This window comes from Homo sapiens, chromosome 17 (genome assembly GCF_000001405.40).
Source record: "Homo sapiens chromosome 17, GRCh38.p14 Primary Assembly".
Taxonomy (NCBI): domain Eukaryota; kingdom Metazoa; phylum Chordata; class Mammalia; order Primates; family Hominidae; genus Homo; species Homo sapiens.
Window position 1 is genome coordinate 39588735 of NC_000017.11, and position 12538 is coordinate 39601272.

Below are 12538 nucleotides of genomic sequence, written 5' to 3' on the forward strand. Positions count from 1 at the left end.
AGGTCAGGAGTTCAAGACCAGCCTGGCCAATATGGTGAAACTCCGACACTACTAAAAATACACTAATTAGCCGGGCATGGTGCAGGTGCCTGTAATCCCAGCTACTCAGGAGGTTGAGGCAGGAGAATTACTTGAATCCGGGAGGCGGAGATCGCAGTGAGCCGAGATCACACCACTGCACTCCAGCCTGGGCAAAACAGAACTAGACTCTGTCAAAAAAAAAAAAAAAAAAAAGCAGCTCAGGTCCTAGGATGGGGCTCTTAGTGTTTGCAAAATGGAAGGAAAAGCCAGTGAGGCTGGTGCAAGGAGAGGGAGCAGGAGAGACAGAAAAGGACACCAGGAAGGGAGGCAGGGACCATGATTACAATCAGGTTTGAATTCTTTCATCACCCCAAGAAGCAACTATACCCATTCAAAATTACTCCCCATTTTCCTCCACACCCCCAAGCTTTAGGCAACCAGAGTTATTTTATTCTATATGCTAAGGACTGGGGGTTTTAAGCCAGGGAGTAAAATGACCCAGCCTATATTTTTAAAAGATTGCCTCAGGCCAGGTGCGGTGGCTCACGCCCGTAATCTTAGCACTTTGAGAGGCCAAGGCGGGCAGATCACGAGGTCAGGAGTTCGAGACCAGCCTGGCCAACATGGTGAAACCCCATCTCTACCAAAAAAAAATACAAAAACCAGCCGGGTGTGGTGGCGGGCGCCTGTAGTTCCAGCTACTCAGGAGGCTGAGGCAGGAGAATCGCTTGAACCTGGGAGGTGGAGGTTGCAGTGAGCCGAGATCGCGCCACTGCACTCCAGCTTGGGTGACAGAGTGAGACTCCAGCTCAAAAATAAATAAGTAAAAATAAAAAAGGTTACCCCAGCTGCTATGGGAGAATAGATCAGAGAGAGGCAAGGTGAAAGACTGGAGCAGAGACTCAGGGAAGAGGTGATGTGACCTGGCTTGGGGGGAAACACTGAGGAAGAAGAGAAGAGCCTGGATTTGAGATGCACTTTGGAGCAAGATGCAGTGATTCTTAGTGAGAGTCTATGTGGAGCGTGAGGGACAAGGTGAGCTTAAAGGTGACTCGGGTTTCTGTCTTGAACTGGGTGCTGCCATTTATTGAAGTGGGGAAGCCAAGAGGAGAAGCATATGGAAAGACATGTGGATAAAGAATTCAGATTTGGCCAGCCTAGGCAACATAGTGAGACCTCATCTCAAAAAAAAAAAAAAATTTGCCAGGCATGGTGGCCCACGCCTGTGGTCCCAGCTACTTGGGAGTCTGAGGTGGGAGGGTCACTTGAGCCCAGGAGGTTGAGGCTGCAGTGAGCTGTTATAGCACCACTGTACCCCAGCTTGGGTGACAGAGTGAGACCCTGTCTCAAAAACAACAACAACAACAACAAAGAAAATCCAAATGCCCATCAGTGATAGACTGGATAAAGAAAATGTGGTACATATACACCATGGAATACTAGGCAGCCATAAAAAGAATGAGATCATGTGTTTTGCAGGGACATGGGTGAAGCTAGAAGCCATTATTCTCCACAAACTAATGCAGGAACAGAAAACCAAACACTGCATGCTCTCACTTGTAAGTGGGAGCTGAATGCTGGGATCACATGGACACGGGGAGGGGAACAACACACACTAAGGCCTGTCAGAGGGTGGGGTGGGGGAGGGAGAGTATTAGGAAGGATGACTAATGCATTCTGGGCTTAATATCTAGGTGATGGGTTGATAGGTGCAGTAAACCACTATGGCACACGTTTACCTATGTAACAAACCTGCACATCCTGCACAGGTACCCCAGAACTAAAAACAATAAAGGGTTCATGTGAGGCTTCCCTGGCCCTGAGGGATGGAGGCCTGGATGCCCACACCAAGGGAGTCTCCTCTCACCACCACACTCTATTGCTTCCTGGCTTGTCCTTTAGCGTTTTTTTGTTGTTGTTGTTTTGTTGTTGTTTTGTTTTTAATTTGAGACAGGGTCTCGCTCTATCGCCCAGGCTGGAGTGCAGTGATGCGATCTCGGCACACTGCAGTCTCCACCTCCCAGGTTCAAGTGATTCTCATGTCTCAGCCTCCCAGGTAGATGGGATTATAGGCGTGCACCACCACGCCCAGCTAATTTTTGTATTTTTAGTGGAGACAGGGTTTCACCACGTTGGCCAGGTTGGTCTCGAACTCCTGACCTCAGATGATCCGCCTGCCTCGGCCTCCCAAAGTGCTGACATTATAGGCTCGAGCCACCATGCCCGGCCTGTCCTTTAGCTTTTTTACATGTCTAACTTCCATTCTTCCTGCTATTCTTGGAAATGCATCTCTCTAGTTTGGAGAGGGAATTTTGGAGAGAGAATTCTGTCATTCTCAGTTCCCTTTAACTGTCTAAGTTCCTGAAATTCTACCACAAAATTCATACTATACTCGTATTCATTGAGTACCCACTATGGGTCAGATACTATGCTAGAAGCGTTGGCTACATTATTTCGTTAAATCTTGCTGACCACTCTTTCCACAGTATTAATAATACAATAATAATAACAGTAGTAATAAAACAATAATAGTGACCACTTAATGAAAACTCACTTGAACTAAGTGCTTTACATTAATTGTCATTTTAAAATCTCATTGGGAAATAACCTACCCAGGGTCAAATAGCCAGTTAGGAATGGGATGAGAAACCTGGACTTCTCTCCAGTACACCAGACTCTCTTGGGGGATGAGGACTTTGGCTGCATGGGTGGAGGAAGGGCAGAGGCATTGTGATGCCTTTCTCTTCCTTCTCATTTATTCTTTCAAATGGAGCACAGAGGCAGCAATATCTTTCCAGACTTCCTTGGGTGCAGAGGGCAGGCACCCCTGATGACAACTCCAGGGCCTGCCCTTTGCTGGGGAAATGTGACCATTTCTTGGGGAGGGCACAGCTCTCACAAGACTTACCAGACCCTTAGAGCAGTTGCCTGGTGTCATAGGAGGTAGGTTCCCATCTGTGTAGTGCAGGATCCTGCTCTGTGATACAAAAGGCTGATTCTTGTATTCATCCTCTGAGGATGGCTTTGGTGTTTGTGCAGGTGCATTTACCCTTCTGTATATGTGTGTGTGCATTTGTGTAATAATTGGTGTGCAAAGGACCAGGTGATTTGCACACATGCATGCAAGTCAGAACAGCCTGGATTCTGTGCATTTCTCTCAGGATATGTGTGTGTGAAGGGATGATTATCTGGTTGTCTGGGGCCTCAGAAAGGCAGGTAACTTGTAAATTTCCTCAAGCATGTGCTGGTGGGTGGAGTTCCCACAGGATGGAAAAAGGGGCTGGCCCCAGAGTTGAGTTCTGAGCTCAGCTCTCCACCTCTTCCTGCCCGTCTCCAGCTCGCTGCCTCCCCCTACTTTTCCCCAAGCTGGGCAGAATGCCCTCAGCCTGTGCCGGCTGGCACACATGCCACATGGTGCCTGGCGCGCGTCTGGGCAAGGATGACGCCCCCAGGACCGGCTGGGATACCAAGCCACCCGCTGCCTCCCCCACCTCCAGAACGGAGCGTCCCCATCCCATCCCCTTTCCCAGCCAGGGACTCGGGGAGCAGGCAGGGACACAGCACAGACAGATACAAACACACAGATGCACCCAGAGACGCCCACAGGCGTGTGCCCCAGAGGGACACAGACACAGGCGTTCACACAGGCTCGGGTACACACACGCACGCTCACACCCCCCCAGAGAAATTTATGAGTGGTCACCACTTGCACGGATCCAGACAGAACCTGACCCGCCTAGGACATTTAGGCAAATCCACCTGGTGTCTCTGTCCGTGGTGCTGAAACAAGAATGTTTGAACGTCCTCCCTATGGAAGCACTAACAGGAAGTAGAAGGGAGAAAAAGACCTGGGAATGGGTGGTGGACAAAAAAGAAGCAATGGAGGAGAAAGAAGAGAGGGGAGAGAGAAATCTGGTGGTAAGGGAGATAGAATGTAAAGGATTCCAGGAGGACCAAGGACTGTCTGAACCCTGGGACTAGGAGAGGAAGAAGAGGATGGAAGATGATCTCAGCCCCATCCCTGTCCCCTGAATGTGTGGCTCCTGTGGCCTCCAGTTACTCCTTCCATATGCCACCTTGCCCTAGATGACCTGAAAATAGTAGGGAAAGGAGATGGACCTGGGAAAGCCCTATAGTGGACCTGCAGATAGCTCCCTACCTGATTACTTATCTCAATTTGTGTTGGGCAAGTGGACAACACTGTTGATCTGGATTTGTTCTGGGGATTGCAGGGATTTAGTGACTGCTTAATGCTTATCCATCAGATTGGATTATGGGTTCCTTTTGCTGTCTCCTGAGGAAAAAACAACAACAACAACAACAACAAAAAAAAAAAAAAAAAAAAAAAAAAAAACTTCCCTTCAGAGAGATTGCATCCCTAATAGGGATGGCTCTCCCATCAGCAGCCCCTTAGTTGTGGAATTTATGTAACATGAGGAATGCCCACTCTTCTGGTGGGGAGACATCTTCAAGGACTGAAGGGGTTATCATATAACTAGGTGGAAGGGGATAAGGGAAGACGGGAGAGAGAAAAAAGAGAAAAGAGAAGGAGAAAGAATGTGTGTGATGGATGAGAGGATGAAAGAAGGAAGGAAAGAGGGAGGAAGAGGGTGGAGATGCAGATGGCAAGAGTAAGGCAGGGCTTGAGTGAACCAGACAGACTCCTGTGTCCAGGGAAGGGGCAGGGAAAGTGTGCCAGTTGGAGCAAATTGCTCCCCTCAAGTGTCCCAGGGGCCCAGATAAGACTGGAATTCCAGCCTAGTCCTGCAGCTGTTCACAGTGGCATTCTTCACCCAGAGCTTTGGGCAAAAAGACCCTGTGGGCCAGGACTACCGATGTGAGGAGCAGCTGCTCTGGCGAGGAAGGTGAGGTCAGATGCAGTCAAGTGCATGTGTGGTTTCCTCATGGGTGGGGTGAGGACAGTGGGTGTCTCCTGGGGTGTTTCCACCTATTCATATGTAAGCAGTGGCAGGAGGCAGATGCCACATGCTTGGGTAGGCCCTGGAGAGTGGGTACTGGGTTAATTGAGGATGAGGAGCAGGCAGAGGAAAAGGAAGAAGAGAGCAGAGGGAGAGGAGTAAGTAGGAAGAAAAGGATATTGGATCGTCTTCTAGAAAGTTCTGGACCTTCTGTTATTCTCTTTTCTTCCTACAATTTGAGAAAAAGGCCTAGGCTCAGCTGGGTATGGTGGCTCATGCCTGTAATCCTAGCACTTTGGGAGGCTGAGGCGGGTGGATCACTTGACTCTAGGAGTTTGAGACCAGCCTGGGCAACATGGCGAGACTCCATTTCTACAAAAATATAAAAAACTATCTGGGTGTGGTGGTGCATGCCTATAGTCCCAGCTACTCGCGAGGCTGAGGTGGGATGATTGCTTGAGCCTGGGAGGTGGAGGTTGCAGTGAGCCAAGATCTCACCACTGCACTCCAGCCTGGGTGACAGAACAAGATCCTGTCTCAAAGAAAAAGAAAGAAAAAGAGGAAGAAGGCCTAGGCTGCCAGCTGGGCACATCTACCTCAGTGTCTTTGTCTGTGGTATAAGTATAATGACAGTCCCAAGCTCATAGGGTTGTTGAGAGGATTATCAACTCATGTATAACGCTGAGTCAATTACTAACATATCACAAGCTCCAAGTGTATGTTACCTTCCATATTGTTGTTGTTGTTACATCTTGGTTTTGCACTGGATCATTGGGGATTTCTTTTTTTTTTTTTTTCTTTTTTTGAAACAGAGTTTTGCTCTTGTTGCCCAGGCTGGAGTGCAATGGCATGATGTTGGCTCACCACAACTTCTGCCTCCCAGGTTCAAGCAATTCTCCTGCCTCAGCCTCCCAAGTAGCTGGGATTACAGGCATGCACCACCACACTCGGCTAATTTTGTATTTTTAGTAGAGATGGGGTTTCTCCATGTTGGTCAGGCTGGTCTCGAACCCCTGACCTCAGTTGATCTGCTCACCTCGGCCTCCCAAAGTGCTGGGATTACAGGCATGAGCCACCGCACCCGGCCCAGTTCAGGAATTCTTCACGCATAACTAGACCTTCTTGCTATGCCCTTAGGTTCAACACTTTTAGGTCTTCCTTTGCACACATGGAGGACTGTGATTTCTTAGATCTTCAAATTTACTCCTGAAGAGAGGCAGCCAAGAGGTTTTCTGGAATGCAAAGCGAATACCCCATGATAAGAAAAGTCTAGGGTACAGGTCACTGAGTTTTCCCACCAGAGGCTGTCACGGAGGTTTTCCTGGATTCCTGAAGAAATTGGACCCTGGACCTACATCAGTGCCTCCCTATCCAGCCTGGAGCCTCAGCCATCTGCCCCATGCAGTGCTCCTGTCCGGGCCCCACCCAAGCCTGTGTGGGTTTGGGTCATTTCTTCCAGACTCCTCTTCCAATCCCAATTCCTTCTCTTCATTCACTTTCTTCAACTCACCCTCTGCTCCTTTCTTGTCCCTTTTCTTATTCTCAGGAATCTAGTTGGAAGGAAAGGAATTCCCTCACTACTTAGAGTGGGATTCCCCCACCCTGCATGGGCAGAATGGATGGTCTCCTGCTGGAGGTCAAAGAAGCATGTGGAGACTGGCCTAGGAGGGGCGAGGGGTGGCAGGGCAGTCCCCATGTCCCCCTATTCTCCCCAGCTCCTGTCTCATCACTGTCACCATTCAATCATAGCAGATGGGCTGCAGCTGTGAGCGCCAGCCCGGCACACAGGCTGGTCCGTGCCACTTGGGAGAGAAGGAAGAGAAAGGGAGGGAGGGAAGGAGGAGGGATGAAGGGAGGAGGGAGAGAGGAAAGGGAAGAAGAGGAGGAGGAGGAAAGGAAAGAGAGTGGAGGAGGAGAGAGATGGCTTGGAAAGAAAGGAGACTTAGTGCCTTTTATGCCTCTCTCTTCCCAGCAGAAGAGCAGAGGCCAGGGCTGGGCTCACAAGCTGGGCAGTGCCAGGCAAGATGGGCATATGCCCTTGATTACTACCAGGACCGCAGGCCAAGCCTCCACAGCCTCCACGGCCTCATAAATCAGTTTTTAAGTAGCAACCACATGGACATTTCCCAGCCGAGAGGCCTGGCCTCTGTTGGTGCAGCTAGGGCAGCCCTGGTGGAGGGGCAGGTGCCAGGCCAGGGCACCAAAGAGAGAGGGGTGGTCATTGAGGTTTGGCGGGAAGTGAGGCTGGAGCTTCTTCAAGTAAAACCTGGGGCAGGGGCTCCTGCCAATAGAGACTAGGTAAGAAAGTGGCAAGTGGCTGGCAGTGGGTCCAGGACTCCCTGCTGGGTCCCCCAGACCCTGTGCTGGATTTCCCCGGTGAAGCTGCTTACAGAGGAGGGGGAGCGTGTTGCTACTGGAACTCCTTCCCTCCAGCTCCCACCCCTCTATAAGAACAAAGAGTCAGGGTGAGTGTGAGGGCAATGTGTGCGCCTATGCACTTGGGTATCCGAATGTGCGCACCAGGCCTTGAGGGGCAGGAAGGTGTTTCCTGATACCCAGCCCAGGCCTGGCACAGACAGGGCACCCAATAAAGTTGCTTGAATGAATAAGTGATGGAGTGGGAAAGGGGCCAGTTATGCAGACTTGCGTGCGTTCACAGGAATTGGAGATTTCTATCCGAGTGTGTCCTGACTGGAGTCTGTGTGTATGTGTGTATGTGGGGGTGTCTGTGGGTGCTCTGGTATGTGGGAGGGGGTGGGGAAGCAGGAGGTGAGGGAGCTGGCGAAGGGGATCTATTTCAGCCAACGTCCCTCCACATCCTCCCTTTCAGGACGTCTTCCCTACACAGCCCTCCCCAGAGCCACGATTCTCCCCTTCTAAGAATCCATCAGTGGGGCGGCAGCTCCCGCGCCCCCACCCCCTGCCCCTGCTGGATCCCGCGGTTGACGCCCTCCTCTCCTCCTCCCCGCACTGGCCGCGTAGGTGGCCTCGGGTGCGGAGGTCCCGGCCTGGCGCAATCAGTTGCAGAGCGGATGGGGCGGGGGCGCCCAGCCTTCTTGCGCGCGGTGTCTCCTCCCTGGGTGAACAGATGTCTCGGAATTTTAGATGTGCTCTCCGCCCCTCCTCGCAATAACTCCCCCCACCACCCCCGCAGCTGGCACCGGCTGTGGCGTGGCGCCCTCCTCCTCCCCCAACTCCCAATAGCAAAACCGGGTGATGGATCCGGGAGCACGGCTGGAGGCTTGGGCCAGGAGGCCCGGGAGGCCCGCGGCGTGGCAGTGGCGGCTCCCAGCGCGGAGGGAACCATTGGGCGCTGTTCGGACCTCTTCCCTTGTGTCCTTCCTTCCCTTCTCCCGCATCCACTCACTCCCATCTCTCCACTGTCTATGTCCTTCTCGACCTCTGCCCCACCCTACAGCCCATCCCAGCCACCGCGTCTACGAAGATCCTCTACACGGACCCTCACACTTCACGACAGAAACTCCTCCTGGCAACTTTGGAGGAATTCTTTCCTCTAGAGACCCCTTTTCCTGCATTCCTGAGCCGCCCCCCATCACCATCAACTGGCTGCCTGCCCTCAGTAGAAACCCCGAGTTAATCCGGAAAACGTGGGGGGAGGACGGGAGGGGAGTAGGGATTGAGATTAGGGAGGTGGAGAAGACCGGGTTGGCCCTGGCTGAGAGACACCCAAATTTTCTAATCACTGCTAATTAATGAATAATCCAATTCCACGGACCCCCAACTCAGGGAAGGGGGCGGGACCCACAGCGGGCAGGAGGGGGCCTTGGCAGGGCTTCGCAGTCGGGGTGGTGCCAGGAGCCCTCCCCCCCACCCGCCAGCATTCCGAGGTAACAGGCATTTGTTACCCAGCTCGTGCCAGGAGCGATTGGCAGGTTCGAGCAGCACAGTCATTCCGCACACAGATGTCCCTGCGTTCACTCTTCTGATATGAATTCTGTCAGCTCCGAATCCGAGAGAGACAAGCAGACAGCTACACAGACAGAGTCACAGACAGACACAGACACAGATAGAGCAATTGTCTGGAAGACGCAGAACTCTACAGATATTTTTCTTCCCTGAAAACATATTTTAAAAAAGAAAGAAAAATAAGAAAAGCTCCCATTAATTTGGGGGGACAGTCCCCGTGCCCCCGATGAATGCCCCCCTTCCTCTCCTCCTTGTGTTACCTGCCCAGACATTTCAGCGGCCCCAAGGGCCCCACAACATCATCACGGAGCTTCAAAGTTAAGTGGTGGCAGAGAGAAACTCTAAAGTCCGCGAGATCTGTCCCCTCACGCAGGACCCTTTTGTAGTTCTAGAAATCCAGTATCCCTGAGAGTTCTAGAACACCACCAAGGTGCAAGTTCCAGCATTCTAGAACCTCTGAAATTCAAAATTCCAGAACTCCCATGAATTGCAAATCGTGCTGAGTGCCCAGTTCTTATATTGCCCTCTTCGTGGGTGCGCGGGAAGTGGATGCTGTCCGGTGCCCCGAGCGGTTCGCACTGCATGCCTGGTCCTCACCGGCTGCCTCCAGAACCTTGGCCACCAGCCAAAAGTGCAGCCTGCCCTTTGATTTAGGAACACAGAAAGGTCAAGTCTCCCTGGCTACTGTCCCTTTCTGACGTTGCCTTCCAGAGCGGACCCCATTCCTGCTCCTGTCCCACCCTGGCCCTCCACGCCTGACCTGGCTGTCCTGCCTCTGCCCCTGCCAGCGGCTGTGGGAGTGAGCTGGTTGGTCACTGGGCATCTGTGAGCTGGCTGGGCATGAACAGCCCTGGGGTTTGGTTCTCCCTGGTCATCCCTACTTAGTGGACGAAGAAAAAGGGGGCAAAGAAACTGGTCACGACAGAGGAGGGGGCACAGAGGGGTTTGGGCTGTGGTTTGTGGGGTTGTGTTTTTTAATCTTTCCTACTTTCTTTTTTTAAAAGAAAAAGCCCCCATCCTGTGTCATCATTTTTATGGGATCTGCAATTCTGGCAAAAATCTGTCTTTAATTTAGCTGTCCATATAAAAATCCTCACTGTATAATAATGAACAGATGCCATGGAATTTAAGCTGGAGCCTCGGCTCCTCCCCGCCTTCCCCCCGCGCCTGGCACCGGGCACCGGGCACCGGCTGAGTGGCACAGACTGGCACCAACGCGCGAGGGTGGGCAGGGGGCGACCTGGGCTCAGCGCCAGGGCTCTGGGGTGGTGAAGGGGCGTCCGGGCGCTGGGGTTGGCCAGGAGGGAGCTTTTCCGTGGTGGTACCAGGGAGAAGTGTCTGCGGGATTTTTCTGTCTTTTTCTACAAGATTATCAGTAGTTAAGGATTTTGGTTTGGTTTTGCTTTGGCTCTTTGTGGTTCTTCCGATATATTTTTTAAAGCACCGCCCTCCATTCCATATAAACCCAAATGTTTTTGATATTTTAATTGAGTTGTTTTTAACCCTCCCCCTGCGCCGCGCCCCAGCCTCGGCCTGGGAGCCCGGCCGAGCGCGAGTTCGCTGCAAGCGGGATCCGCTCTGAGCCCGGCCGGCCGGCAGCCTCCGCGGTATTCCCGGCGCGGGCCCCTCCAGGGGCTCCCCTGCGGCTCCTGGGGGCAGGGGTACCCTGCTGCCCTCCAAGACTGAGGCTGGATGTGGCATCTGATTGGGAAGTGGGAGAGATGAAGGGAAGAGAGAAAGCCCCAGTGCCCTCACTCCCATTCTCGGGCTGTTCCCAAGGGAGAAGGAAAAAACTATGTGAGTCCGTTGTGCCCTCCTGCCTCCGCCTGCGGTCAAGAAAGGGGGCACCGGCTCAGGCTTGAGGGGTTGGTTCTGAGCCCCCCACCCCCACCCCTCGCTTTTAATGCGACTCTGGCGAGAACAGATGTCCCAAACCGGGCGAACTGCCCAGACCCCGCCCAGCTGTGCCCTTGGTGAAGACTTGGCTAAGAGTAGGAACTGGCATGCAGGTCCCCAAAGGGGTTCGGGGGTTCCCGCGACCCCTGTGGGACCTGACCTAGCAGCCTTGGCCTCCTGGCCAGCTCAGCCTCAGGCGGGAGGCGGAAGAGACCCGGAAAGACCCGTTCCTAATTCAATTAATTCCGAAAAGAGGAATGAGACGCAGACAGATACTGACAGAAGCTGGGAGAGAGGTTTAAATACCCGAACACCAGACACACACTCTGGTATGGAACTCCGCAGCCCCTGTCAGCGCGGGGAGACCTCGCTGCGCTCCCGCGCTGGAGAGGGCAGGAGAGTTGGCTGCGCTAGAGCCATACCCTGGCTCACATCTGGGCAGCGTCTCCACCCAACGCTGTGCCCCAGCTCCCTGGGCATGGCCGGCGCCTAGAGGTTCCCTCTTCTCCTCCCCTCGGAGCGCCCCAGCTTCCCTTCCCTGCCCTAGGGAACTAAGGTGACTCCGCTCCTCGCATCTCCCTCCTGAAATCCGTTGCCCTCCTTCCTGTGAACCCAGCCCCGGTCTTGGCCTTCTTCTCACGTCCACACTCCCAGGGCTGGCGCCCCTGTCCCAGTGCTTTAGGTTGGAGAAAGTTTCCAGAGCAGAACAGCCCTCCCAAGGCAGCTGCGCCCTTTCTTACCACTTCTCACCCAGGGAAACTTTGTCGAGAATTTTTAAAGCTGCAGGACAGAAAGGCAGAAGCTGCTTCAGGATTCAGAACCGGGGCAGGGTTTTAAGGTTTCTCACAGTTCAGGTGTCATTTCTGCTCTGGCCCCGTGGCCAGCGCCTGGGTATCCCAGCCCTGAAGGATGGAAAAATGACAGTGTCTTGGGCTGTGAGTTGGGGAGCCTGTTCTGACAGCAGAGGCCCATCTGCCCCTCCCACTTTTCGCAAAAAGCAGCATCCTCCTTTGAGCACACTGGAGCAGGTCAGATGCAGTCCCTCCGCGCTGCCCCTCTGTTGTCATGGAGGGGTTGGGAGGGTAGGTCAGGCTAAAGCTGCTCAGTCCTGGCGTCTGCCTTCTCTTTCTCCTCAGGTGCCTTAAGGACTAAACTGCAGAATCTAGAACCATACCTTAGTCTCAATCCCCCCTCAAATCAATGGCTCTCCTCAGAGCAGATGAATTCCTGTCAATGATTCTGGGGAAGAGGAGGAAGCAAAGGTTGCCAAGAGAGAACGAAATCTCTGACCTCTGCCCAGAAATTCTTGTATCCACCAGCTTGTGGACTTTCCCATGAAAGGGAAAAAGAGAAGCAGGCACAGCCCCGTGGAGCTTCCAGAGTATCAGGGTTTTCCTGCCACTGATCCTCCTGGGGGTCGGTGTCCCGCAGTGATTTATCGGGCTGTCTCCCCGAGTCACAAAATCAGGGCTGGGGGTTCACTGGGGGTCCATAGCTCACTGTCCGAGTCATGGCTGGAACGCAGCTCAACAATGAAGGGACAGGAATGGAGCTCAACAGTGAAGGGACAGGGAGTAACTGCTTTCCTTCCCTTTCCCGCCAGATGGGCAAATGGCCTGGACTCGGAGATACCTCTTTTTCTCTGTCATCTTCCAAATGCTGGACTTGGAATGGGGTCTGGAAAATCAAGAGGAAGATGTCCTCCTGATTGAACTTGGATCCAGCCGTCGGGTTCAGCGGCCCAGGGGTTGAGCTGAGCCGGCTGGTGGACGCTT

General features: G+C 53.0%; 1 long non-coding RNA gene across 2 annotated transcripts, besides 1 other annotated feature; it reads right to left on the reverse strand.

The window, feature by feature from the left end:
• Nucleotides 1-5997: 5997 nt before the first annotated feature.
• Nucleotides 5998-9532, reverse strand: LOC105371771 (uncharacterized). Of its 2 annotated transcripts, none has more exons than XR_007065747.1 (3): nucleotides 9128-9532; nucleotides 8807-8931; nucleotides 5998-6172 (listed from the first exon to the last, which is right to left on the reverse strand). It is a non-coding gene; the product is annotated as an uncharacterized LOC105371771 (long non-coding RNA). The 2 variants fall into 2 exon arrangements; XR_934746.3 differs by having other exon boundaries at nucleotides 8807-9016.
• Nucleotides 11282-11576: a silencer, noted in NCBI's record as "tiled region #1854; K562 Repressive non-DNase unmatched - State 21:Repr". NCBI's record gives its function as "represses a minimal TATA promoter and a strong SV40 promoter by Sharpr-MPRA in K562 cells {active_cell/tissue: K562}" and the evidence as "EXISTENCE:reporter gene assay evidence [ECO:0000049][PMID:27701403]".